This window comes from Homo sapiens, chromosome 15 (genome assembly GCF_000001405.40).
Source record: "Homo sapiens chromosome 15, GRCh38.p14 Primary Assembly".
Taxonomy (NCBI): domain Eukaryota; kingdom Metazoa; phylum Chordata; class Mammalia; order Primates; family Hominidae; genus Homo; species Homo sapiens.
Window position 1 is genome coordinate 34358188 of NC_000015.10, and position 25725 is coordinate 34383912.

At 48.9% G+C, this 25725-nt stretch overlaps 2 protein-coding genes, 1 non-coding gene and 1 pseudogene across 20 annotated transcripts in view, besides 7 other annotated features; all 4 read right to left on the bottom strand.

The window, feature by feature from the left end:
* Positions 1 to 445: 445 nt before the first annotated feature.
* On the bottom strand, positions 446 to 9009 carry LPCAT4 (lysophosphatidylcholine acyltransferase 4). Of its 5 annotated transcripts, none has more exons than NM_153613.3 (14): positions 8800 to 9009; positions 7372 to 7514; positions 6821 to 7041; positions 6007 to 6119; positions 5826 to 5886; positions 5474 to 5532; positions 5235 to 5269; positions 4595 to 4649; positions 4386 to 4468; positions 4009 to 4134; positions 3213 to 3345; positions 1924 to 2022; positions 1402 to 1558; positions 446 to 1115 (listed from the first exon to the last, which is right to left on the bottom strand). In NM_153613.3, the coding sequence occupies exons 1-14, from the start codon at positions 8911 to 8913 to the stop codon at positions 940 to 942; spliced, it is 1575 nt and encodes a 524-aa protein (NP_705841.2). In that variant the 5' UTR covers positions 8914 to 9009; the 3' UTR covers positions 446 to 939. The 5 variants fall into 5 exon arrangements, 3 of the variants coding, with proteins under 3 accessions (NP_705841.2, XP_047288290.1, XP_006720517.1); XM_047432334.1 differs by lacking the exon at positions 446 to 1115 and adding an exon at positions 2982 to 3042 and having other exon boundaries at positions 1446 to 1558; XM_006720454.2 differs by lacking the exons at positions 446 to 1115; positions 1402 to 1558 and adding exons at positions 2567 to 2640; positions 2982 to 3042 and having other exon boundaries at positions 1938 to 2022.
* Positions 8414 to 8503: a silencer, noted in NCBI's record as "silent region_6281". NCBI's record gives its function as "represses an Ori minimal core promoter by ATAC-STARR-seq in GM12878 lymphoblastoid cells {active_cell/tissue: GM12878}" and the evidence as "EXISTENCE:reporter gene assay evidence [ECO:0000049][PMID:35858748]".
* Positions 8584 to 8633: a silencer, noted in NCBI's record as "silent region_6282". NCBI's record gives its function as "represses an Ori minimal core promoter by ATAC-STARR-seq in GM12878 lymphoblastoid cells {active_cell/tissue: GM12878}" and the evidence as "EXISTENCE:reporter gene assay evidence [ECO:0000049][PMID:35858748]".
* Positions 8754 to 9213: a silencer, noted in NCBI's record as "silent region_6283". NCBI's record gives its function as "represses an Ori minimal core promoter by ATAC-STARR-seq in GM12878 lymphoblastoid cells {active_cell/tissue: GM12878}" and the evidence as "EXISTENCE:reporter gene assay evidence [ECO:0000049][PMID:35858748]".
* Positions 9169 to 10164: an enhancer, noted in NCBI's record as "NANOG-H3K27ac hESC enhancer chr15:34659557-34660552 (GRCh37/hg19 assembly coordinates)". NCBI's record gives its function as "activates a minimal SCP1, AML or CMV promoter by ChIP-STARR-seq in primed H9 embryonic stem cells {active_cell/tissue: H9 hESC(primed)}" and the evidence as "EXISTENCE:reporter gene assay evidence [ECO:0000049][PMID:30033119]".
* Positions 9344 to 9393: a silencer, noted in NCBI's record as "silent region_6284". NCBI's record gives its function as "represses an Ori minimal core promoter by ATAC-STARR-seq in GM12878 lymphoblastoid cells {active_cell/tissue: GM12878}" and the evidence as "EXISTENCE:reporter gene assay evidence [ECO:0000049][PMID:35858748]".
* Positions 9764 to 10053: an enhancer, noted in NCBI's record as "active region_9180". NCBI's record gives its function as "activates an Ori minimal core promoter by ATAC-STARR-seq in GM12878 lymphoblastoid cells {active_cell/tissue: GM12878}" and the evidence as "EXISTENCE:reporter gene assay evidence [ECO:0000049][PMID:35858748]".
* Positions 11509 to 11568: an enhancer, noted in NCBI's record as "active region_9181". NCBI's record gives its function as "activates an Ori minimal core promoter by ATAC-STARR-seq in GM12878 lymphoblastoid cells {active_cell/tissue: GM12878}" and the evidence as "EXISTENCE:reporter gene assay evidence [ECO:0000049][PMID:35858748]".
* ACTG1P15 (actin gamma 1 pseudogene 15) lies at positions 15347 to 16390 on the bottom strand (annotated as a pseudogene).
* GOLGA8A (golgin A8 family member A) overlaps positions 20881 to 25725 on the bottom strand; it is a 58741-nt gene continuing 53896 nt past the window's right edge. For 10 of the 14 annotated variants that reach the window (NR_027409.2, NM_001386893.1, NM_001386895.1 and 7 more), the window contains 8 exons: positions 25559 to 25666; positions 25254 to 25341; positions 24610 to 24866; positions 24199 to 24342; positions 23964 to 24064; positions 23781 to 23881; positions 23514 to 23669; positions 20881 to 23426 (listed from right to left, as the gene is read on the bottom strand). Coding sequence is in view for 12 of the 14 variants with exons in the window: in NM_001386893.1 (NP_001373822.1) it covers positions 23224 to 23426; positions 23514 to 23669; positions 23781 to 23881; positions 23964 to 24064; positions 24199 to 24342; positions 24610 to 24866; positions 25254 to 25341; positions 25559 to 25666 (1158 nt within the window). In the remaining 2 variants the exon portion in view is untranslated. Of the gene's footprint in view, positions 23427 to 23513; positions 23670 to 23780; positions 23882 to 23963; positions 24065 to 24143; positions 24343 to 24609; positions 24867 to 25253; positions 25342 to 25558; positions 25667 to 25725 lie in introns of those variants that run through there. The other 4 variants (NR_164784.1, NM_001368072.2, NM_001368071.2 and 1 more) reach the window with 2 other exon arrangements.
* MIR1233-1 (microRNA 1233-1) lies at positions 23882 to 23963 on the bottom strand. Its single transcript, NR_036050.1, has one exon. It is a non-coding gene; the product is annotated as a microRNA 1233-1 (primary transcript).

Genomic DNA, 25725 nt, shown 5'->3' on the forward strand with positions numbered 1-25725 from the left:
CAATCCTCCCAGCTTAGCCTCCCAAGTAGCTGGGACTACAGGTGTGCACCAGCATGTCCAGCTAATTTTTCTATTTTTTTTTTTTTTTTGTAGAGGTGGGGTTTCACCACAGCATCCAGGCTGGTCTTGAACTCCTGGCCTCAAGCCATCTGCCTGCCCCAACCTCCCCAAGTGCTGGGATTACAGGCATGAGCTACCATGCCCAGCCTAATTTTCTAATTGTCCATAATTGTGTCTCTAGGGGGCCTTGTTTTCTTCCTTGAAAAGAGGCTGAACAGAAAGGACTTCAGTGTCCTTACTCATCTTGTGTCAGAGAAACCCTCCTGTGTAGCTGGTCTGACCTGCAGGGAGGAGGCCGGTTCCTTACTGACACAGCTCCTTGCTTCCACTAGGGGCGATGGAATCAAGTCTCAGTAGGATTATTAAATATGGAATGGTAGCAAGCTATTTTTTAATCTTTAATGAGGACAGAGCAAGAGGGAATGGGCTGAAAAGAGGTTCACGAGGAAGTCTGTTAAAATGTACATATAGGAGATGACAGCAGGAGGGAGGATATGGAACCTCAGTATGATTTCTGTGCAGGAAAGAGCCCTGTCCGAAGAGGAAGATTCATCCAGCTATGGCCAAGAGGACGAACCTTGGAAACATTTGTGATTTTCCAACGGGCGTCCTACAACCATTCATCCCTTTCCTTCCCAAGTAATGGTAACATCAATATGACTGGACTTCATTTTTTTTAATAGATATAGATATAGATTTATATTTATATATAAAATAGTTTTTTACAAAAAAATCAACCAAACAAAAAATTAAAATCAACTTAAAAAAACAACAACCAAACAACAATAACAAAATTCAAACAGGAGCAGAGATGGGGCTGAGGCATAGGGGAGGCCCCTAGCGCTGCCCTGAGGAGGAGGGGGTGAGAGGCTGAGGCACTCAGTCTCCCTTCTGCTTGGGTGCTTGCACAGTCCCATTGGCCAGAGCAGTGGGGTTGCCTGGGGATGAGGCATTTGGTGTCTGGGAGGTGCCTCGAGAGGTGTGTGGGGGGCGCAGGTAGGTGCTGAAGAGTTTCCCATAGAGTGGGTCATGGAGGGAGAAGTTCTGGAACTGACCTGGACAAATAAGAGATGGGGAAAAGTGAAAAGATCTAAGAACGAGAAGAGAATCTCCCTGCTTTTTTCTCAGAACTAAAACACCTTGTGCCTCTACTCTGTTTAACTTCTCAAATCCAGGTTCAGGTCCTCTCTTCCTTTCTAGCCTGTTCCTCCCAGCCTTACTTCTCATAGGTTCTGATCTCCAGCACTGGCCACTAACCCTTGTTCCCTCCCAGCCCAGTGCTTTCCTGGATGCTGATGGTGCCCCAAGTGCCCGTGTGGGGCTGAGAAGGCAGTGACTCACAGAGGGAGAGGCCTTGGCTGGATCCTGCCTGGCACAGCTCAGCATGCAAAGCTGTGGCAGCAGGGTGGGGTGAACCCAGCAGCAGGTGCAGGATGGTGCTGAAGCCGTCTTTGTACAGCAGGCGGTTGGGACCCTCTGCTTGCTCTTCAGCAAAGAGCTTGGGAGAGAAAGGGATAAGAGTCAAGTTCTCTCCTCATGCCATGGCCTCACCCTGCCCCACAGACTGGCCTGACAGGCTCCTCCTCTTCCAAAAGGGTGGTGCACAAGCCTTCCCTGACCCTCCAGTGCCCTTTCTGCAGAACTGTAGACTTTATAGCTTTTTCCTTCTTCTTCCTTCTTCTTGTGCCCAGCTAGGTCTCAACATAGAGGCCGGGGGTCTGCAGTTTTAGGCACTGTGGCACTAGGTTGGATACCAAATGCCTAGTATCTAGAAGCTACTGGAAACAGCATACCAAAATAGGCCTCCTGGAGCGGGGTGAGCATAGCCACTAAGCACCCCCCACCACCGCCACCCCCCATTACCTCAAAGGCCAGACGAGTTAGCTCTTCCAGGCTCCTGCCCCCATCCAGAGCTGCTAGTGCAAGGGCCACATCTCGGAAGTCCACCAAACCCTTGGTATCCTGGTGTGAAAAAGAAACCAGGGCAATGCGGGGACCCTGCGCCTCCCTTCCTGCTCTTTGGATTTTGACTCCTCCCTCTTCTCAGCAAATAATGGGGGTGATCCCTGTGACTGCTCCCCTCAGAACTGTGAGCTCCAAACTCTTTAGGATCCCTGGAATTTCTCTCAGGTCATAGGCTTTCTCAAGCTATATCAGGTCACCTGGTGACAAAGCCCTCCCATAAAGGGATCTCCTAGGAATGTAAGGGAATCCCTCAGGAATGCTGAAGCTACTATGAAGTCTCTGACATGCCAGCGGAGGGCAGTCCTGGTCCCCAGGCTAGACAAACTGGTTCTCTCTGACTCAGCCTATGTAGAAGAACTGGTCCAACAGATTGAAAGGGGGACACAGGCATAATTTCTTATGAAAAACACAAGGAGGATGCCTGCTGTACCAGCTCCATGGGAGACCATGGCATTTGAATTTTTGTTTCTGCTCTGCTACAGGCCAAGTGGGGGAAGCTCTTTTCGGGGACAGTCCGCCTCAATCTAAGGAATCTAGATACCTGGTCACTCTGTCCCTTCAGAGGATGTTGAGGGTCACATTCTGCATCTCAGATCAAAAAGCTCCTTGGGACCACTGTTGGTTGTTCATAAGCATTAAGAATCTTTTAGGATTTTTGGAAGTTGACCAGGGAACTTGGTTAAATCTTGAGAAATACATGGCTTGCTAAGAATCTTGAGAAAATTCCTCTAGAGAAGCTATAGGATATTTAAAATAATCTGCCCAAGTCCTACAGATATAGCTGGGTCTCAAGCTCTCAACCATCTAACTGTCCGGTGTTGTTTCTTCTACATGTCATCTTCCCACGTAACCTTCATGACTCTCCTTCAAAGACCCTCACCCAGCACCCCAAAAGGTCTTATGATTCCCCACCTTCGCCACTCTCTAAAGTGGTTTCAGAAATTTATAGTCCTTACTGATTATTTCTCCCTTGTTCCTCCTCATGATGATAACATTGCTCTTCAATGCACTGGATGCCTGATTAAAAAATGAATCTTCAGTGGATCTCAGGGGATGGCCATCTAACAACAGCTGTGAGAACATCCACTGAGGACTCCAAACTGTGAGTGACTGATACGGCCACTAGGAACATGTCAGCCTGGAGGGAAGCCTGGGTTCTGCTCTGCTCTTTGTTCCAGCTCCTTTACCTGCTGGAAGTAGCCAAAGGCACCAGCCACCGTCTGAGGATCAGAGAGCTGTAGCTGCCTGGCAAACTCTTCCTGGCTGATCATTCGACTCCGGCCTGGCTCTGCCCCAGCGTCCACATAGCCAGCGGACAGCCTACGATGGAATTGTTGAAGGCAGAGAGCTGTCTCAGTTTCCTTCTGGACACACCATCAGCAGGACTTCAGCCCCAGTACCAAGAGTTCTATCAGTACAGGTTTAGCTGCTGTTTTTCTAAGATGTACTGACTCACAGTCCCTTGAGAGCACTTCTTACTTTTTTCTTTTCTTTTCTTTTTTTTTTTGACGGAGTCTTGCTCTGTCACCCAGGCTGGAGTGCAGTGGCACGACCTTGGCTCACTGCAACCTCCACCTCCCAGGTTCAAGCAATTCTCCTGCCTCAGCCTCCCAAGTAGCTGGGATTACAGGCATGTGCCACCAAACCCGGCAAATTTTGTATTTTTAGCAGAGATGGGGTTTTGCCATGTTGGTCAGGCTGGTCTTGAACTCCTGACCTCAGGTGATCCACCCGCCTTGGCCTCCCAAAGTGCTGGGATTACAGGTGTGAGCCACCGTGCCCGGCCCCTTCTTACTTTTTTCACCTGCATTATTACATATCCTTCCATTTATTCCCCACTTCCTTTTATTTATTCTATTATCTTTCTTCCCAGTTTTTTTCATTTTTAAGATTTTCCTTCTTCCTTCTCATTTCTCCCCTTCTTATTCTCTCTCTCTCTCTCTCTGTGACACTGCTCATACCCTCATTTCCAAGACCACTTACCCAGCCTTCCGAAGCACTTTTCCCAGTTCCCAGAGCTGTGGTTCCAACGCCACCTTCAGCCGGCCCACCACAATCACAGGTAAGCTCCCTACAAACTCACATTCGGTGGCTGGAATGCCCAGAGCCCTACAGGATGAAGAGGGATGGGATGGAGGGTAAGGAAGCAGAAGAAACTTCTGAGGGTTGGTTCCTGACCCTGGCCCGCTGACTGGAGTAGATCAGGCCCCTTTAAATCTCCCTGCCTCTGTCTCAGCTGTTCAAGAGCCCTTCCCACTGCCTGCTCCTCGATCTTTGCCTGAAAACCTCGCCCCCTCCACGCCCCTGTGGTTCCTTTGCCCTGTGCAACTGCTCCAGGAAATAGTTTGTGGGGCACTCACTGTGCCATGACCCTCTGAACATTGTTGGCATAGAGGGTGGGGTCCCTGCTCTCCTCAGGGCTGGGGTGATACACAGGAAGGAACTGAAACACAGACACACACAATTCTTATCAGAACCTCAAAGTGAGGTATGACCACTCCCACCCTCTTTTCCCAAGGTTTCAGGAGTCTGAGATGTACTTCTCCCACCGCCCCCACGGGAGCCATACCTCCACATCCACAATGCTGCAGGGCTGAGAGGCTGTGAGCCAGAGGACTTTGAGTCTAAGAGAAGAGAGATTTCGATACTCACCAATCTCTAACTATGGGCTCCTTCCCTGGCTCCCACACCCCACTCCCCTTCCCCAACCCAGGTGGGGAGTGGGAAAAGTTCTGCCCATTGATAATAGGGACAGACTCCTAGCCATACAGTCAGGTGGGTGAATATGCAGTTGGGAGACACAAGGAACGGCCAGAAACGCGGTAGGGAAAGAGAGCAGAGCTGCATGGATATGCCAGAGGAAGAACTGTAGGCAAGAGGAGGTTTGAGTAATGGAAGAAAAAGGCGAGAGGCATGCCTGATGGTGATGGTTCTCAGGAAGGGATAATTGAGGGAGAAAATCACAGAAACATGGGAAGATAAATGCATAGCAGCCATAATCACAGCAGGAACAGTTTAGGTGGGATAGCTAATCTAAGCACAGCCAGATTATATGGGGACATCAGGGGGAAAGTGGTGTCTCCTCTAGAGTTCTCTCAGTCCTCAGATGAAGAAGGGCCATTCACCTTGTCGGGAGATTGGAAGATGGGCCAGGAATTCTCTGATGGACCCTGCTCCCCACCCTCACCCCCAGGAATACCAGAACTCACACTCCAGGACCCCTCCATGCCCAGCTGGTGGTGTCCTATGGGAGAAACACAGGTGAGGGCATAAGAGCATTACTTTTTCCCCCTGGAACTGGCCAATCACCTTTGAACAGAGGGCCTGATCCCACCTCTGGTCACAGCCCCCAATGCACATCCCATTAAAGCACCAACAGTTTTCACTTATTTCCATTTGGGGTGGATTTGTGCTCCCCCTTTCCACTCTTTCTTGGACTAAGACTCACCAGACTGTTGGGGTAGCGGATGAGGACAGGCTGCACAGGCACCCCTGCGATGAAGGCTCCTAAATCCCATTTCCACCCCCACCCCCACAAGGCAGAGGTTAGTACACAGAAGTAGCTAGAGGGCATGAGGTATGGCAGTCTGGGACAGTTCTCAAATGAGATATGGTTTTGTTCCACTCATTGATAATTTTCTCTCTGACTCCTCGACTTGACAGCATTAGCTAGGAGGTTCCTGGTCTCCCTTCCTCTCCCATCCCTCCCCCTCTTCTACTTCTTGGGTTATTTCAGAGTCCCTCCCCAAATCTGGAACTTCTTTTTCCTACAGCCCACCACCCACTATCATTTTATTCACCTGGTTTGAACTTAAGCAAAGCCTTCTTGTTGGAACAGGTGCCCTCAGGAAAGAATAGCACCTGGGGTAAAAAAGAGCAGAATGAGGTGAAGAAGACTGAAGAAGGCTGTGGAGAGAGGAAAGGGAAGCCTCTTCAGGAGCACATGGAAAGTGAGAAGATGGTCTTGAGACCCTTACCCACCTGCGGCCACTTGCCTCCTGAGGTGGCCCGCCTTCGGACCTCCTCCACCACTCTGCGTCGAGAAGCCGGGTCATGCCGGGATACCAGGATGGCTTGGTTGAATCGAAGAAGGGCTGGGGTTGGGAAGGATACAAAGAGGAATCACTTCTTTCCTACCCAGGGGCAGTAACATCTGCAGCCTCCACTTCCTCAACAGCATGAGAAGTTTCTGTTATCTCTTTTTTTTTTTTTTCTGTTGTTGTTGTTTGAGACAGAGTTTCGCTTTTGTTGCCCAGGCTGGAGTGCAATGGCTCGATCTCAGCTCACCGCAAACTCCACCTCCTGGGTTCAAGTGATTCTCCTGCCTCAGCCTCCCGAGTAGCTGGGATTACAAGCATGGGCCACCACGCCCGGCTAATTTTTTTTTTTTTTTTACGCCCGGCTACTTTTTTTGTATTTTTAGTAGAGACAGGGTTTCTCCATGTTGGTCAGGCTGGTCTCGAACTCCCGACCTCAGGTGATCCGCCCGCCTTGGCCTCCCAACGTGCTGGGATTATAGGCGCGAGCCACCGTGCCTGGCCTGTTATCTTTGCCCTGGGACAATCCCTTTATAGTAGTTGTCCTTTTAGAGAACTGACCAGAACTCCCTCCAACACCTTCTCTCTGTCCCAGCCCTCAGAATCTAAGACTGGTTGACTAATGGTGTTAATTTATATTTCACTTGCCAACAGTCCCTCCCCACTTTGAGGCCAGTTCTTCACTCCAGTGTCTCCATTCCTGACTTTTTTTGCCCAGAGTTGTCACCCTGCCCTTCACCCCCTTTGAACTCTCTCACCTCCAATGACAGGAACGGAAAGGTTCTCAGCTCGGGACACAACTTTGGGCAGGTCACAGGGCAGCAGAACAATGGGGTCAAAGAAAGTGGAGTGTGGGGCAGCAACAAGGACAGGGGCTTGAAGGCGAGAGGCTCGCTGGCCACGAACGCGAATCCGGAGGAAGCCCAGCAGGAAAAACAGCAGGCGGCTCAGGCCTAGCACCCCGTTGTGGCACACAGTCCTGCCAGGGCAAGGCTGGGTATCAGCGGAAGCAGTGGTTCTAACCCTCACCCGCCCCCAGGTTCAGACACCGGGAAAGTAGGGCACCCCTCTTTTACCCTTAAATAGGATGTGACCAAGGGGCCAAGGTCTCTGGCCACTTTGGGACCTATCAGGGCACATTACTTAGAGGTGAGGTCTGGGAACCACGTCTGAGCTTGGCTGACTCATCTCATCTACCCAAGCTAGACAGAATAGTTTCAGAATGCTCTCTTTTCTTCTTCTCAAAGAGGGAGCCGAATAGACAGCAGGGAAGAGAAGTAGGGTCTCTGGGGGCTGATCCCTCACTTACTTCCTCCATCCTGTAATTGGCTCCTGAAGCTGCTCCTCACTAAGACCGGCCACTTGAAGCCAGGCAAAGGGCCAGAGGAGAAAGAGGACGATAAAGGCCAGAAGCACTCGGATGGGGGCCAGCAATGCCCCCAGGAGGCAGAACTGCAAAGGGTGGGAGAGAATGCCACTTTAGAGCTTGGATATGCTCCCTCCACAGCATCCTTCTTCCACAAAGCATAGACCCAGGAGCAGACAGCCATCATCCCTTGCATGTGACAGGTGGTGTGGGAACAGGAGAGGGGACTGGGACCCAAGGTGGGATGAAGATACCAATGAGGGCAAGAGGATAAAAGATTAATGGCATCAAGGGCCTTATTTTCCTGTCTTTCAGTTGGTCCCTACCCCATTTATAAAACCGAAAGCCATAAAAAGCATCTAGCACTTAGAGGATTTAATAAGAATGCATGCGAAAGTGCAGGGCGCTGTGCTTGATGTACAGTAGGTTAGAGACAGGTCCTCCTCCCCCACATCTTATTCCATAAATAGCTCCTATGCCCAACAGAAACCAGGTGCACAGATCTTTCCACTTTGGGCCTAGGAGGCAGAGGGCTGTAAACAGCCAGAGGTCCAGTTTTCAGACCCGAGGTCATTTTCTGACACTGCTCAACAGCAATCTTAGAGTACCGGGGGATATGGGAGACAAGAGCTCGGCCCCACTCTGCAAGGGAGAGAGGCTGCCAGGAGCCAGGATGACTCCATAGGCTGCCTTGGGGAAGAAGCAGGTAAGCAAACCTAGCCCCTGGAGCCTGCCTCCGGGGAGGTGATGACAGCAGAAACCTTGGACACTCCCTCCCCACACCACCTCCCAGCTCCCCTAGGCTGGCGCGGCCCTCCACTTCCTGTAGCCAACCTCCCTCTCAGCCTCCCTGCCCCCACCGGGAGGTGCTGCAGTGCGGGGTGGAGGGGGGTTGGAGGGAGTGGGAAGAGGGAGTGTAGGAAGGGCACAGGGTCGCAGGCTCCCGGCCCAGAAACGTCTTCCCTCTAAGTCATGCCTCGGAGGAATACTCGGCACGCCCCCGCCCCCGCCCCCACCCCCGGCTTCCCGTAGACTCTAACTCCATCCTAGCCATCAGGCTCTGCAGAATGTAATCCGCATTCCCCAGCGTCCTTCATCTCTCCAACCCCAGGGTCCCCTGCAGCCCTCCATCCCCACCTACTCAGTTTTTCCACATCTTCGAGCTTGTCTATCGCCCAAGCCCGCAGCGTCCTCTCCAGGACTCCTTGCCCAACCGCGGCCGCCCCCACGTGCGCACCCCCGGACTCCCGCTCCGCAAGCCTCTCAGCCATCTCCTTCTCGTGGATCCCCAAGCCCACCTTTGCCAGGGCTCAAATGGCCCCATTTTCCTATCCTCACGGGTCCTTCCGACGCCCGCTCCCCACACATTACCTTAACCCTCTGGAGGCGAGAGAGATGTAACTCATGCACGAAGGGGTTGGGGGATGCTGGGGGTCCGGGGGTGGGATCTAGGGGGGCCCAGTCCCCCGGACTTCCCTGGCTCATGGCGGGAGAAGGTGGGAGGGAGGGCACCCCGGCCCTGGCCCCGGCCACCACTCTGCAGAGCAGCTGCTGCTGCAGCAGCGGCGGCGGCGGCGCTCTGGCCCGGGCCCCGCCCGGTGCAGGCGGCCGAGGGGCGGGGAGCAGGCGGCGCAGCCCAGCCCGCCCGCGTTGTCAGGGCGCCGGCCGAGGGGCGGGGCTTCCAGCGCCCTGGCGCCCCTGCTCCTCCGCGCCCGCCGCGGCGCCCGCAGCCGCTCGGGCCATTGTTCCGCGGCTGCCAGGGCTGGAGCGGGCTGCCCCTGGGCTTCTGCGCCTCCGTCGTTCCTCTCTGAAGACCTGGCCTCCGCCTCGGAGTGGGAGTGGGTCTGGGAGCTGAGCGCAGAGCTCAGAGCGCCCTCTGTCCCCGCCCGGGCGTCGAGGTCACCCAGCAAGCGCAGATCGGGGTGAGGCTCTTGGGTTGGTAGGCAGGGAGGGACAGGTGGGCCGGATGCAGAGGCCGGCAGCTCGCGGGTGAGGCGGCGCCCCGCTCTTCCTATGGGCTCCTTGGCCCGGTCCGCGCCTCCTCGCAGGCGGACCACCTTTCCTTCCCGGTCCGTGGGGCGCCATCGCGCGGGGACTTGAGGCACTTGCGTCCTCTGGCGGCTGCATGGCGCCCCGCAACTCTCCACCTCCGCGTCCTGCCTGTGCTAGGCAGGGCCGCCTTTACTGGTGTGAGGGTTGCTTGAACCCTTGAGGCGCCAGGAATCCCTAGTACACTGACGCATGTGCTTCCCATGAGCCCGACAAGGTCTGGCAGGGGAGAGGCAGTGGTTCCTGATCTCTGTCACTCTCTGGGTGAACGCAGAGGACACAGTAGTAATTCCCCTCACCCACAAGCTCCAAGCTACCCTAGAAAACAAATTGTTTAGCCTCAGGCCATCGTTTGAGATCAGGGACCAGGGAATTAAGTGGACTCTGAGATCCATTGCCATGACAAAAGGGGTAAGAGTCTCATTGCTTGAGGAAAGAATACGCCTTAAGTTCACTTTATGTCTTCTGCCCATTGCATGGCAGTTAGGGGAGCTGAAGGAAGAAAGTGAAAGAAAAAGAGACCTCTCATAACCAAGAGTGTTTGCCGCCACTGGCTTCTCCTTTAAACCAAACTCCAAATTAATCTGCTCCAGGAAATTTTCTGAGCCCAGGCTGAGAGGGTTGAAGGCTCATGCATCCTACTGAGACCAAGGAGCTGCACTGGGATGTTTTTGTATATAACACAGAGGTCCCAACACAAATACATCATTTCCACATTTTATTTTTGTATAGATAGGGTCTCGCTATATTGCCCAGGCTGGTCTCGAACTCCTAGCCTCAAGTGAGCCTCCCACCTCGGCCTTCCAAACTGTTGGGACTACAGGTAGTGAGCCGCCATGTACAACCCAAACCTTTTTTTTTTAAGCAGATGATTTCAGCTTTCTCACCAGAACCGAGAAAGTACAACTGCATGTATTAGTCTCCCTTGCCTTGCCTTTGGGGAGAAGTTTGTGTGTGTGTGTGTGTGTGTGTGTGTGTGTGTGTGTGTGTGTGTGTTTGTCTTTTGTTGTTGTTGTTTTGGGACGGAGTCGCGCTCTTGCTCTGTTGCCCAGGCTGGAGTGCAATGGCGTGATCTCAGCTCGCTGCAACCTCCGTCTCCCGGCTCCAAGCAATTCTCCTGCCTCAGCCTCCTGAGTAGCTAGGATTATAGGCGGGCACCACCACACCCGGCTAATTTTTGTATTTTTAGTAGAGACGGGGTTTCATCATATTGGTTAGGCTGGTCTCGAACTCCTCACCTCATGATCCACTCGCCTCAGCCTCCCAAAGTGCTGGGATTACAGGCGTGAGCCACCGCACCTGGCGGTTTTTTTTTTTTCTTTTTGAGATGGAGTTTCACTTTTGTTGCACAGGCTGGAGTGCAATGGCACAATCTCGGTTCACTGTATCCTCCGCCTCCCGGGTCAAGCGATTCTCCTGCCTCAGCCACCTGAGCAGCTGGGATTACAGGTGCCTGCCACCATGCCTGGCTAATTTTTTTTTTTTTTTTTTTTGTATTTTTAGTAGAGATGGGGTTTCACCATGTTGGCCAGGCTGGTTTCGAACTCATGACCTCAGGTGATCCACTTGCCTCTGCCAAAGTGCTGGGATTACAGGCGTGAGCCACCACGCCCAGCCTAGAAGGAGGTTTAAGGACTAAGATAATGTTCATAAGGTGGGAGACAGGGAAAGATGAGAGTGTAGGGAAGTTTAAATTTTTCCCTTGAATGTTTGATAATTTGAGTCTATAAAACAAACTGATTACATAGATTAAAGGGAAAAGAGGCCTACGCATTTTTTTTTTTTTTTTTTTTTTTGAGACGGAGTCTCGCTCTGTCGCTCAGGCTGGAGTGCAGTGGCACGATCTCAGCTCACTGCAACCTCCACTTCCCGGGTCACGCGATTCTCCTGCCTCAGCCTCCTGAGTAGCTGGGACTGCAGGTGCACGTCGCCATGCCTGGCTAATTTTTTTTTTTTTTTTTTGGTATTTCTAGTAGAGACAGAGTTTCGCCATGTTAGGCAGGCTGGTCTTGAACTCCTGACCTCAGGTGATCCGCCCGCCTCGGCCTCCCAAAGTGCTGGGATTACAGGTGTGAGCCACTGGGTCCGGTCTCCTACAAATTTTATTTGATGCACGCATGTGTGTGGGAGTCATACAAAATATAAAAACTCAAAGAAATGCCCAATGGTTGCTTTTATACCACCTTGAGGTTACAGAAAGAATGAGAGCTTGCATCTGGGCAAAACAGGTTATGGTGGCAAGACAGGTTATGGGAGGGGGAGAAGAAGAGGCCTGGCCAGCAAAGACGGTCTTGGTGAACAAATGAAATCTCACAGACAGTAGCCTTTAGAAGGAATAGGTGGTAAAGGTTTCTGTTAGACCTTTTAAGATGTCAGACTCTCAGTTAATCTTTCCTAAATCTGGACAAGGGAGAGCACCAGAGAAAGCCTTTCTGCATCGATGCAGATTCTCTGCAGATGCAGATCTCCCCCACAAAAGACAGCTTTGCAGGCTTTCTGAACAGTCATCTCAAAATACATCAAATTCAGAATGAAAATTTTTGGTGCTCTTCAAGAGCAATAAATACTATGAAAACCCAACTACAGGGGTAGAGTTTTGATAATCAAATATTTGCCGGTGTCAGTCATCCAGGATGAACTAAGAAGTTCATTTCTATGAATGAGTCATGAAAGCATCCACATTTCCCCTTTTTCTAGCCCCTCACCAAACTATTATGATGGCCTTTCTGCAGGCAGTCTGAGAAGGGGCAACCCAGTTGTAAAGAATAACGTTGAGAAATTGATCATCTCTGGTAGCATCTGTCACTCCCTTGAAAATATCCACCAGGCTAGACAGGTTTCTCCTCCACCTGACCCCTGTATCTGTATCAGTCACCATTACCTGGGAGTACTGGAGACAATGACATATCAATGGAATTCTGGATTATTGGATACCATTAATCTTCTGTTGGAAGGGGGAACCAGACAGAAGCCAGAAGTTACTTCTGTCTAGACTCCCTCCCAACCTCCCATGTTTTATAGCCTCAAAGAAGGCAGTCAGCATTCTCAGCATTCTTTTCTTCTTTTTCTTCTTCTCTTCCTCCTTCACCTCCTCCTCCCCTTCTTCCTCCTCCTTTCCCTTCTCCTCCTCCCCTTCCCCCTCCCTCTTCTTCCTTCTTCCTTCTTTCTTCTCCTCCTCCTCTTCATCCCCTCCCTCCTCCTTTCCCCCTCCTCCTTTTCCTCCTCTTCTCCTCATCCTCCCTCTCCTCCCCTCCTCTCCTTCCTCACTTCCCTTCTCCTCCTCCCCCTCCCCCTCCCTCCTCTTCTTCCTTCTTCCGTCTTTTCTTCTTCTCCTCCTCCTCCTCTCCGTCCCCTCTCTCCTTTCTCTCCTCCTCCTTTTCCTCCTCTTCTCCTCCTCATCCTCCCTCTCCTCCCCTCCTCCTCTTCCTCCTCCTCATCCTCCCTCTCCTCCCCTCCTCCCCTCCTCCTCTTCCTCTTCTCCCCTTCCCTTCCTCCTCCTTCTCTTCCCCCACTTCCTACCTCTCCTACTCCTCTTCCCCCATCTCCTCTTCCTTCTCCTTCTCCCCCTCTCCTCCCCCTCCCATCTCCTTCTCCTCCCCCCACCTCCTTCTCCTCCTCCTTCTTCTTTTAAATAGAGGCAGGGTCTTGCTTTGTTCGTCTTAAACTCCTGGGCTCAAGCAATCATTCTGCCTCAGCCTCCCAAAGTGCTGGGATTACAGGTGTGAGCCACTACTGGTGGCCCGTCCTTTTTAAATTTTTAATTTTATTAATCTTATTTTCATTTCTTTTTAATAGAGATAGGGTCTCACTATGTTGACCAGACTGGTCTGGAACTCCTGGTCTCAAGCAGTCCTTCTGCCTCAGCCTCCCAAAGTGCTAGGATTACAGGTGTGAGCCACCACACTAGGACAAGATTTATTTCTGTTATGAACTGAATGTTTGTGTCTCTCTTCCCCCAGTTCATATGTTGAAGCCCTAGACCCCAATGTGATGGCTATTTGAAGGTGGAGTCTTTGGGAGATAATTGGGTCTAGATTAGATCATGAGGGTAGGACCCTTATGATGGGATTAGTGCCCTTAAAAGAAGAGAGAGAGGGAGAGGGAGAGAGGGAGAGAGGGAGGGAGGGAGAGAGAGAGAGAGAGAGAGAAAGAAAGAAAGAAAGAGATCTTTCTTTCCATGAGTACATATGGAGGAAACGACATGTGAGCACACAGTGAGAAGACAGCTGTCTACATATCAGAAAGTTGGCTCTCACCAGACAACGAATCTGCAGGCATCTTGATCTTGGACTTCCCAGCCCCTAGAACTGTGATAAATAAATTTCTGTTGTTTAAGCCACCCAGTTGATGGCATCTTATTACAGCAGCCTGAGAAGATTAAGACAATTTCTTAAAGGTTCTTAGAGACGATTCCATAGCTTTCTTTTATCTCTTATTTAAAGGAGGGCAGGTTTCTGTACATCTTGTGTTTTCCAAGATAGTTCCAATAATTTTATAATTTCATTTTTTTTCAATTAAGGCAATTCATACATGCATAGTTACACATAATTTTACTTTTATGACTTTAATATTGTATTTTTTTAATGTGCACTTTTATTGAACTGGTCTCAAGTCAGTGTACAGGTAACCCCTTGCTACTTTCACACCTCCATCCAATCCCAGGGAGACCAAAAGCCTTCATACACCTCAAGTTTAGGGACAAAAAGTGTGGCCACAATGGCTCATTCAAAATAAAACAAAATAGGCCAGACGCAGTGGCTCATGCCTGTAATCCCAGCACTTTGGGAGGCCAAGGCAGGCTGATCACTTGAGCTCAGGAATTTGAGACCAGCATAGGCAATATGGTGAAAACCCATCTTTACCAAAAATACAAAAAACTAGCCAAGCAGGGTGGTGCACTTCTGTGGTCTCAGCTACTCGGGAGGCTAAGGTGGGAGGATTACTTGAGCTGGGGAGCTGGAGGTTGCAGTGAGCTGAGATCGCCTCACTGCATTCCAGCCTGGGTGACAGAGTGAGACCCTGTCTCAAAAAAGAGTAAAAACAAAACAAAAACAAAATACAAAGTTATTAAGGCTAAGATTTAAAACATTTTGCATTATGTAATTTGCATGAAAGCAATGCTATCACCTCCCCTGTGTGGACTTAGGAGAGGACTGGGCCATTTTCCTTAGATAGAAGTGGAGTGGCTTTTGGGAGGGCAAAGGAACTTCCTGTAACAATACATTTCATGATATTTGCAATGACTATTAAAAAAAAAAGAACAGGCCTGGCGTCGTGGCTCATGCCTGTAATCCTAGCATTTTGTAAGGCTGAGGCAGACACATCACCTGAGCCCAGGAGTTTCAGACCAGCCTGGGCAACATAGTGAGACCCCTTTTCTACAAAAGATAGAAAAATTAGCAAGGCACGGTGGTGTGCACTGTAGTCCCAGTTATTTGGGAAGCTGAGGTGGGAGGATCACCTGAGCCCTGGAGGTTGAGGTTGCAGCGAGCTGTGATTGGGCCACTGCACTACAGCCTTGGTGACAGAGTGAGACCCTCAGAGTGAGGCCCTGTCTCAAAATAAATAAATAAAATAAAAATTAAAAATAACTATGTACAATCCAAGTTCTTGGCCACATTGTAGAACTTTGGGGGATGCTCATTCCAACAGACTGTTGTCACTTTCACTGTTCCAGTTTGTAAATCCTGAATCATCAAGCCAAAAAAAAAAAAACCAAAAAAAAAAGAAACCCCAAACCAAAACAGAACCCGAAACCAATCAAACAAACAAACACTCCCCAAAAAACAAATAAAGCCATGCCAATCTCATCTTGTTTTCTATGCAAGTTAGGTTTTTGTTAAGAAAGGGTATAACACAACTAAGTAACAGTCTGCTTAGAAGCATTTGCAGTAGAAGATGGGGGCGAGAGAAGTGGGACTCGTATTCCTGCCTGCTGATCCACATCTGCTGGAAGGTGGACAGCGAGGCCAGGATGGAGCCAATGATACACATGGAGTATTTGCACTCAGCAGGAGCAATAATCTTGATCTTCATCATGCTGGGAGCCAGGGCAGTGATCTCCTTTTGCATCCTGTTGGGCGATGCCAGGGTACATGGTGGTGCCGCTGGACAGCACTGCATTGGCGTACAGGCCTTTATGGATGTCCACGTCACACTTCATGATGGAGTTGAAGGTAGTTTCATGGATGTCACGGGTTCCATGCCCAGGAAGGAAGGCTGGAGGAGAGGCCAGGGCAGTGGAACTACTTGTTGCAGATGTCGATGACCTGGCTCTGGAGCAGCTTGTAGCTCTTCTCCAGGGAGAAGCTGGAGGACATGGTGGCCATCTCCTACTTGAAGTCCAGGGCAATGTAGCGCAGCTTCTTCTTGATGTCACGCATGATTTCCTGCTGGGCCGTGGTGGTGAAGCTGTAGCCACGCTCGGTGAGGATCTTCGTGAAGTAGTCAGTCAGGTCCCAGCCAGCCAGGTCCAGACATAGGATGGCACTGGGGAGGGTGTACCCCTTGTAGTTTGGTAGTGTGGGTGACCCCATCACTGGAGTCCATCGCAATGCCAGTGGTACAACCAGAGGCATACAGCAACAGCACAGCATGGATGGCACATATATGGCAGGGGTGTTGAAGGTCTCAAACATGATCTGGGTCATCTTCTCGCAGTTGGCCTTGGGGTTCAGAAGAGCCTCAGTCAGCAGCATGGGATGTTCCTCAGGAGCCATGTGCAGCTTGTTGTAGAAGGTGTGGTTCCAGATCTCCATGTCGTCCTAGTTGGTGATGATGCTGTGCTGGATGTGGTATTTCAGGATCAGGATGCCTTTCTTGCTCTGGGCCTTGTCACCCACATAAGAGTCCTTCTGAGCCATGCCTGCTGTCATGTACTGGTTCCGTGGGCACCCCGTGATGGAAGGCAAGATACCCTGGGGGGCATTGTCACTGCAAGTGTGAAGATATCATCATTCATGGGGAGCTGGCACCAAGTTTGGACTGGTGGAGGAGTGTCGAGCGTGAGGGTCTGTGCTTGGGGCAGATACAGTCTTGGTCTAATATTTTAACATAAATTAACCATATCAGAAAGAGTTATTAAACTTAGGACTCAAACCTATGGAGTAATAATTTAATACTATAATTAAATTAAACACAATCACATACACCTAACCCTCAACGATATACAGAGAAAGTTTTGATACTAATTTTCAATTCTTTATCTCTATGAAGCTGATGAAAAATTCTTAGGCAGTGTGCCTGGTGTGGGATTTTGTAAACCAAAAATAATATTCTAGGCTTCCCAATCAACTGAATAGACCTATCCTCTCAGCCAAGGGCATTCCAAAATTAACCTGAAAAACTAGTTCAGACCATGATGAGATGCAGGAGATGGGGCATGACTTATTTACACTCTCCTGTCTTTGGAATGCAGGCATGGGTGACCAGCATTAACATTAAAATAGAGATCTTAAGAATAAAACAGACTTCCTGTAGCAATAAGACACCAAATTCCAGCCTGACTAAAATAAATCGAATATATATATATATACATATATGTAAAACACTTTGATTTCTTACATATATATTATTATTATATATATTTTGTTATTTTTTTGAGATGAAGTCTCACTCTGTTGCCAGTTCGGAGTGCAGTGGTGCGATCTCAGCTCACTGCAACCTCTGACTCCATGGTTCAAGCTATTTTCCTGCCTCAGCCGACCAAGTAGCTGGGATTACAAGCACACACCACCACGCCCAGCTAATTTTTGTATTTTTAGTAGAGATGGGGTTTCACCATGTTGGCCAGGATGGCCTTGATCTCCTGACCTCATGATCTGCCCACTTTGGCCTCCCAAAGTACTGGGATTACAGGCATAAGCCACCGTGCCCAGCCCCAAAATATATTTCTTTCAGAGATATATATATATATATATATATATATATATTATATATTATATAATGTGTGTGTGTGTGTGTGTGTGTGTGTGTGTATATTTTTTGATACAGAGTCTGTTACCCAGGCTGGAGTGCAGTGATGTGATCTTGGCTCATTGCCACCTCTGCCTCCTGAGTTCAAGCAATTCTAGTACTTTAGTTTCCCAAGTAGCTGGGATTACAGGCGTGTATCACCATGCCCAACTAATTTTTGTATTTTTAGTAGAGATGAGGTTTTGCCCTGTTTGCGAGGCTGGTCTTGAACTCCTGGCCTCAAGTGATCCACCCACCTTGGCCTCCCAAAATGCTGGGATTACAGACAAGAGCTACCATGCCCAGCCTTCTTTGATATATTTTGAAATGGTCCTGCAAAGCTTTCTCTCATTGGGAAAATGTATATTCTATAGAGAATCCTTGATTCTTTCCTGATCCAGGAAGGAATTAACTGAGTCTGACACCTTTTTGGGTCTGATAAATGTCAGGCCTGTGAGCCCAAGCTAAGCCATCATATCCCCAGTGACCTGCACGTATACATCCAGATGGCCTGAAGCAACTGAAGATCCACGAAAGAAGTGAAAATAGCCTTAACTGATGACATTCCATCATTGTGATTTGTTTCTGCCCCACCCTAACTGATCAATGTACTTTGTAGTCTCCCCCACCCTTGAGAAGGTTCTTTGTAATTCTCCCCACCCTTAAGAATGTACTTTGTGAGATCCACCCCTGCCCGCAAAACATTGCTCCTAACTCCACCGCCTATCCCAAAACCTGTAAGAACTAATGATAATCCACCACCCTTTGCTGACTACTTTTTTGGACTCAGCCCGCCTACACCCAGGTGAAATAAACAGCCTTGTTGCTCACACAAAGCCTGTTTGGTGGTCTCTTCATATGGACACGAGAGACAATAAGAGCTCTGAGGCCTGCTACCTGAAGGTTTCATATGCATGATAAAGCCTTGATCTCCACAACCCCTTATCTTAACCCAGACCTTCCTTTGTACTGATTCCAGGTCTTTAGATAATAAACTCTTTCTCTTTTTGGTAGAAGATAGCTTAAAAAACACACACTCCAAAAAACTTCTTTCAACCAATTGTCAGTTAGAAAATCTTTGAATCCACCTATGACCTGGAAGGAACCACCCCTCGCCCCCTCTAGTTGTCCCACCTTTCCTGACCGAACCAATGTACATCTTACATGTATTGAGTGATGTCTTATGTTTCCCTGAAATGTATAAAACCCAGCTGTAGCCCAACTATCCTGGGCACATGTTCTCTAGATCTACTGCGGCTGTCTCATGGGCCATTGGTCACTCATATCTGGCTCAGAATAAATCTCTTCAAATATTTTATAGAGTTTGACCTTTTCATCAATAACCTCTATTCTTTTATCATTTGTTTTCCTCATCTTTTGTGTGTCCTGCAATGTCCTTGCTTCTTGCCACTCCTTCCCTGGTTGTTACTTCATTGTATTATCAGAGGAGTTTGAACCAGAGTGACTCCATCTTGAATAGGGGCTGGGTAAAATAAGGCTAACAACTACTGGGCTGCATTCCCAGGTGGATAGGTATTCTTGGTCACAGGATGAGATAGAAGGTCAGCATAAGGTACACGTCACAAAGACCTTGTTGACAAAAGGGTATGGTAAAGAAGATGGACAAAACCCACCAAAACCAAGGTGGCAACAAAAGTGACCTCTGGTTGTCCTCACTGCTCATTATACACTAATTACAATGGATTAGCATGCTAAAAGAGACACTCACCAGCACATGACAGTTTACAGATGCCATGGCAATGTCAGGAAGTTATCCTATATGGTCTAAAAACGGGAGGAACCCTCATTTCCACAAATTGCCCACCTCTTCCCCAGAAAACTTATAATCCACCCCTTGTTTAACATATAATCAAGAAGTAACTATAAGTATAATCAGTTGAGCAGCCCATGCTGCTGCTCTGTCTATGGAGTAGCCATTCTTCATTCCTTTACTTTCTTAATAAACTTGCTTTCACTTTAGTCTATGGACTCACCCTGAATTCTTGCTTGGGTGAGATCCAAAAGCCCTCTCTTGGGGTCTGGATCAGGATCCCTTTCTGGTAATGTCTTCTGGTTGAACCACGAAGGGACAATATTGAGGAAACCTCTGACCCAAAGAAAACAGCAATACCAATTGGCCGACTTTGAGTAAGAGGAGGGGTACATTTAACGTGGGTAAAGGATGGAATTGGGTTAGAGGCCCAACTTAGGAGGGTTAGAGTCCCTACTAAGACAGAGTTAAAGGCCTCCTTAATAAAAGGCAAGGACACTTGACCAAACTTGGGTTAGAGGCCCAACTTAGGAAGGTTAGAGCCCTTCCTAAGATTCAGGGGGTTACAGGTTAGAGGTCCCTCTCAGTAAAGTCCCTCTTGGTTAAAAATGGATTTGGAATTATGGGATGTTATCTGCTATTCTCTTTGGATTAATCTGCCTTGCACTGTTTGCTGATGGCTGTGGGTGACAGGATTAGGCATGTACAGGATCACCAGATGTGGGAGCATTTTTCTCCCTAAAGTGGGAAAGATGAGAGCTGATGGGACTGTTGGAAGAGCTCCCTTCATTACTGAAAAGCAGGTGCCTGAACTTTTGATTCAGCGTCGCTGCAATGGGTGGGTCTTTCTCTGGCCTCCCGGAGCTATGTACCCTGCCACAGACAATGCTTTTCTCCCCTTTTCTCCTTTCTCTTTTCTATCTTTTCTGTTACTCAGAGCCAACTGTCTGCTGTTTCATCTTGCCCAGAGACCACATGTTGAAACTCCTGGTTGGAAGATCATTGTACCCCACTTTTCTTTTTAGCATATAATCAAGAAGTAACTAAGTATAATCAGTTGAGCAGCTGATGCCGCTGCTTTGTCTTTGGAGTAGCCATTCTTTACTCCTTTACTTTTTTTTTTCTTTTTTGAGACGGAGTTTTTGCTTTTGTCACCCAGGCTGGAGTGCAGTGGCACTCTTGACTCATTGCAACCTCCACCTCCCAGGTTCAAGCAATTCTCCTGCCTCGGCCTCCTGAGTAGCTGGAATTACAGGCACCCACCACCACACCCAGCTAATTTTTGTATTTTTAGTAGAGACGGAGTTTCACTCTGTTGGCCAGGCTGGTCTCGAACTCCTGACCTCAGGTGATCTGCCCACCTCGGCCTCCCAAAGTGCTGGGATTACAGGCTTGAGCCACCGTGCTCCATGATAACTTTTCAGAAAACTTTTTTCTACTTTTTGCCACAACTTTTTTACATTTTTATCCGATAACTTTTTCACCCCAAAACTTTTTTAATCCCATACCTTTTTTATGTTGTGTTCTTTCAATAAACACTTGCATAGTTATACTACATTTTTGTAACAATGAAACAGATTATCTCATGCCAAGCATGCCCAGTATTTGCACAATATCAATACTTTTAATACTATAGTTTTCAAGACACGCAAAATAAAATTTTAAGGCAAAAACAGCACTTTGCAACAATTTAAAAATTTATTGCATTACAGTAGCATCACATCAGCAGTCAATAATGCCACTTTAAGCAAAAGTCTTTCAGTATTTCCGTTACACATTCTGTTAACAAGAACTCATACATTGGTAAAATTCATTCTAAGAAAACTTGGCAAATAACGCTTTGGCCTGGAATTGGCATTTCTTTCTCTACTTTTCCTTCCCACCATTTCTTCCTTTTAAACTACAGGATTTATATTTTAAAATGTTTTATTTCAGAACATTAAGATAGCAGTTACATTTTTTAATATTTATATTATTTTAAAATGACTCTTTAAGATACAGTTTTAAACCCATGGGCTAGAAATCATACGACTGTTAATTAGCCGCATTATTTGGTCTAACATTTTTTATCATTCTGAAACTGGATTTGTGTAATACATTGATAAATTCATACAATTTGGAAGAGTCAGTTGAAGTTACAAGGACCCAATATCTGCCCTCTTTCAGTGAATGCCGGCAAATCTGTTATTCCATTGGCAAAATCGTATTGCTGCTCTCCTGTTAATCTCACATTTATAAAAGGATCATGAGGCTGCCAAGTGCTAAAAATGGAGATGGTCTAGTAACTAGAAAACTCCCCACCCCAGGGAGCACACCTACATATCTCCCTACAACCTAATAATGTGATGTGTTTTGGAACACAGACATTAGAACTTCATGAAGTTTTAACTGTTGATTCTTTCCCAAGCATCATCAAGTTATGATTTAGGCAATGTATGATTGAAATGCATTCATTCATCATGCATAGGCACAATCACAGAAATATTGCACAAAGTATGTCCCTGACTGAAAATGAGAGGTACAAAAACGTATTTCACTCTTCGTAAAGAAGTTTGTGAGGAAATACAACTCTGCGATCGTATAGACATGTTTCCTGATAATACAGACATTCACAAACAGTAGATTGCACCACAGTGTGTAAACATTTTAAGTTGCATAAACTTCTCCTTGATTTTCAAAGATAATATAATACTGTCTACTAAAATTCCTTTTTGTTTCAACTAAGTACTCTCACATATATTAGTTTATAATAATGTTTGTTATTACTTTCTAAAGTGTTTTCCACTCAAGGAAAAGAAGTAAATTCCTATGTCAGAGTAACCGAGGTGGTTGAAGAATAGGTATTAGCCAGAGAGGTCTAGATAGTAAAATCAAACTTCAAGCCTCAAAGAAGCTCCATGAACAGAGAGGAATGCCAGGTGTCACACAGCTTTCCTTCACTCTAATTCATTCTTGACTAGAGCCTGTATGCCTGTTTCAGAGACATTTAAACTCTTAAAGGATTTCTTATGATCTTCACTAAATACATTAAGAAGAATGCCAACCAGCGCCCTTTCGTGTACTGGGACAGGTAGTCATGTGATTAAAACAGGGAACACGAACTCTGACTTTAAAATGTATTGTAGATACAAATGCTCTAAGCTAGGAAAGGTTTTTCACACCCACAGCCAATGATGGCAGCCTTTCATTCCTCGGAAATAAGCCCTTTTTAGGTCACTGAAAAAGAGTGCAACTGCTGCAGCTCACGATGCAATATCTTCATGAGCCCAGAGCACATACAAATCCAAAGGGAACTGCCACAGTACACTGCTCATTCTTGGCACCGGAACAGATGAAACACACTGTATCCTGCACATACCTGCCAGAGCAGGCCACTTTCCTCTTCTGTGAGATTTAGAAAGCTCCCCCAAAAGGTTATCACTCCCATCACCAATACACAGAAAATGGAGGAAAGGCTGTTTCCAGTTCTCGGCCTTTAAACAGCTCTAAATGTCAGTACTCACAGTGGCATATTACAAAGTAATAAACAGTGCACACTTGAGGGCAAACCGCATATTGAGCTATAGAAGAGCTCACTGTGATTAAGATGAGATCAAACATCATAGCAGAACATTAGCAAATTTTATCTGAATTCTGTAATGGACATCCATGCTGCAATAACATTAGAAAAGCACGGGAGCCTATTCCAAACCAGCGAGAACAGTTTTGTGCAAAGAGTGGGTCTTTGTGTGTTTGAACTCCCACCACGTAAGGGCAAACTCGATATGCATGCTAATGACCTACAATTATGAAATGAAAAAAGAAAAATGCTGAAGGATGCCAGAGTGAACATCAGTGAGAGCCACAGAGACCCACTCTCTTTTAACTTTTTACAAATAAACTTAAACTATAAATTAGAAACACAAATAATCATGAGTAGCTCTAACATTCAAATGAAGTAAATGAATTGTGTAGGAGATTAACCCCATAACTTTGTTTCGTTTTTAAAAATTTCTTGAGCAGCTCTTTGATGATGGTGGTGTTTATCTCCTTCTTCTCGGCAGCCAAGCCCAGCAAAAGCATGGCACACAGCAGTTGCTGCCCAAGCCTGGGTGCTCCTGGTGGTCCTGCATCTCACCAAGGAGCTGCACGACTGGCTGTGCAGTAGGGTTGTCCTGGGAAGAACCCTCCCTGGCTTCTCCTTGTGCAGGCTCCACGCTGTTGGTGAGGCTCGCCTCACAAAGATCTTTGGAGAGAGGGAGGCGGGGATCTGAGTGGAGTGCTAGCCGCCCCCCGCTCCTGCCTGCTCACCCCGCCTGGGGGCTCTACTCACCACCATGCTTGTCGGCAGCCCCGAGCTCCTGGGGGGCTGGGGCTCCTGGACTGGGTTCAGCAGCAGGGTTCCGGGCAGCGGCCAGGAATTTGCCGTGCCCCTCGCTGTAGCTGCCACAAGCCGCAACACCATCTCCTGCAGCTCCAGCAGCTTCACCTGAAGGGACGGGTGCTCAGCTGTCAGGCCGCTGCTGGCGCCCACCCTCATGCCCACCCCACCCACACCCCCACCCCACCCCCACCCCCACAGGGATGTTGCACACCCTACCTTCCTCTCCTCCTTGTCCTGGGCCAGCCTGATGATGGCCTCCTCCCGGTGACGCATCTTTGGCACTGTCCCCTGGCTCTGTTAGAAGGCGATGTACTTTCCTGCGGGAGGACAGGGCTCAGACGCTGGGGCCCCTCCCATAGCCCTGCAGCTCCCCCTGCCGTGCCCTGGCCTCCCACTCACTGATGGCATCTCTCTCTCCGGTACTGGATGAATCCAAGTTCCAGTTTCTCCACATGCTCCCTCAGGTCCGCCTTCTCCTCCAGGAGGTCCATAAGGCCGCTCTGGAGCCAAAATAATGGGGTCACATCTCAGCAGCGACCTGCCCCAGCCCTGCCCTTCTTGGCCCATGCTAGGACTCACTCCCCTCCAGCTTCTCCATGACTTCCTGCAGGGCCCGGAGGGTCTCCCCACTCACAGACTCGCCCCCAGTCCCTGAGGCTGGGACTGCTGCCTCTGGCTCCTTCTCGGCCGAGGTGAGCGTCTCCATCACCTGGCCCAGCTTCTCCTGCAGCTCCTTTACTTGCTGCTCCAACTGCAGTGCGCTCTTGTTCTCGTGCTTCTGGACAGAGAGAAGCAATCAGCAGCCACCCACTGCAGCTGGAGACCCCAGAACTTGGTGTCTGCCTCCCATGGCACCGGGAAGGGTGGAGCCAAGTTAGAAAAATACTCTCCTCTCTCCCACAGCCACCAGAGCAAAGCTCTGGCTCACAGGTGCCTTTGGAAGTAATATTTCATGTGAGGGCTACACTGCCCCATTTTACAGGTGGGGAAACAAAGGCCTGGAGGGCTAGGGAGGAGGGCAGGCTCCCCAGGTGGGGCAACCCACCAGCTCCTCCAAGTCGCTCTGTGGCTCGGCCAGCTGCTGAAGCCTCTTCTCCCGTTCCCGAAGCCTCTCCTGCTGCTCCTGAAGCCTCTCCTCCTGCTCGCGAAGCCTCTCCTTTTGCCCACGGTTCAGGAGACTGATGCACTGATTGTTTTCCACCTGAGCCTGGAGCTCTCCTGCCACTCTCTCCAGCTCCTTCCTCAGGTCTTGCAGCTCCACCTCAGAGGACACTGCTGGGGCATCCGGGGGCAGTGGCTCAGCTGAGAAAGGAAGCAGATCATAAGGGCCTCTGGATTCTCAAAACAAAAATCAAAACAGAAAAAACAACAAAACACCCTCCTGTTGGCGCACAGCTCCTCTCAGGCTCCCAAACTTGGCTTCACTGCTAACGATCCCTCGCACCCGGATGGTAGCCAGTCTTCCAAACCACTTTCAGATAGAGAGCACTGCGGGTGGCTGACAACGGGCCCTCTTTGCTCATGGGGACACTGAGGCTCAGGGAGATGACAAGACTTGTCTCCTGGCACAGACCTCTTTCCCTCTGCCTCAAAGCCCTGCCATCCACCCACCTCCCTGGGGCACTCTAAGCCACCCCCACAGCCCTCTGATGCCAGTCCTGCTCCCAGGTCATGCCAGCCCCATCTTACCCATCTGGTTTTTGAGTCTGGACAAGCTCCTCTCCAGCTCCTCTACCCGATGCGTATCATGCTTCTTCTCCTCCTTCAATGTGCAAACCTGCCCAAAGCACAGGGGGAAAGGGCCCTGGAGAGAGGGGCTGGTGGCTGGACAGGCTCCCATCTCCCTCTCTGCCCCCACCTCCACAAAGCCCAGACCCAGGACCACCTCTGGCTGCACTATTCCCATTTTAAAGAGGCCCAGAAAGATCCAGTGACCTATCTTAAGTTGTTGGTGGGGGGGGGGTGGGGCGGGAGGCTGAAGGGTCAGATCTCACCTCCTGCGACATTTTCCTCATCCTCTGCTGCCACTGGGCCCTCTCTCCTTTTATTTGTTCAGCATATTGATCTCTCTCCAGCTGGACTTCTTTAAGCGACTCCTTCAACTGCAAGAATGGCCACACAAGTTAGGAAGGGCCGTCACTGGTCCTCACCTGCTCCTGGC

Coding starts and splice junctions, on each gene's coding strand:
- LPCAT4 (NM_153613.3), bottom strand. CDS start 8,913: ATGAGCCAGGGAAGTCCGGGGGACTGGGCCCCCCTAGATCCCACCCCC. Junction 7,042..7,371: donor CCAATTACAGGATGGAGGAA/GTAAGTGAGGGA, acceptor TTGCCCTGGCAG/GACTGTGTGCCACAACGGGG. Junction 6,120..6,820: donor TTCCGTTCCTGTCATTGGAG/GTGAGAGAGTTC, acceptor TCCCAACCCCAG/CCCTTCTTCGATTCAACCAA.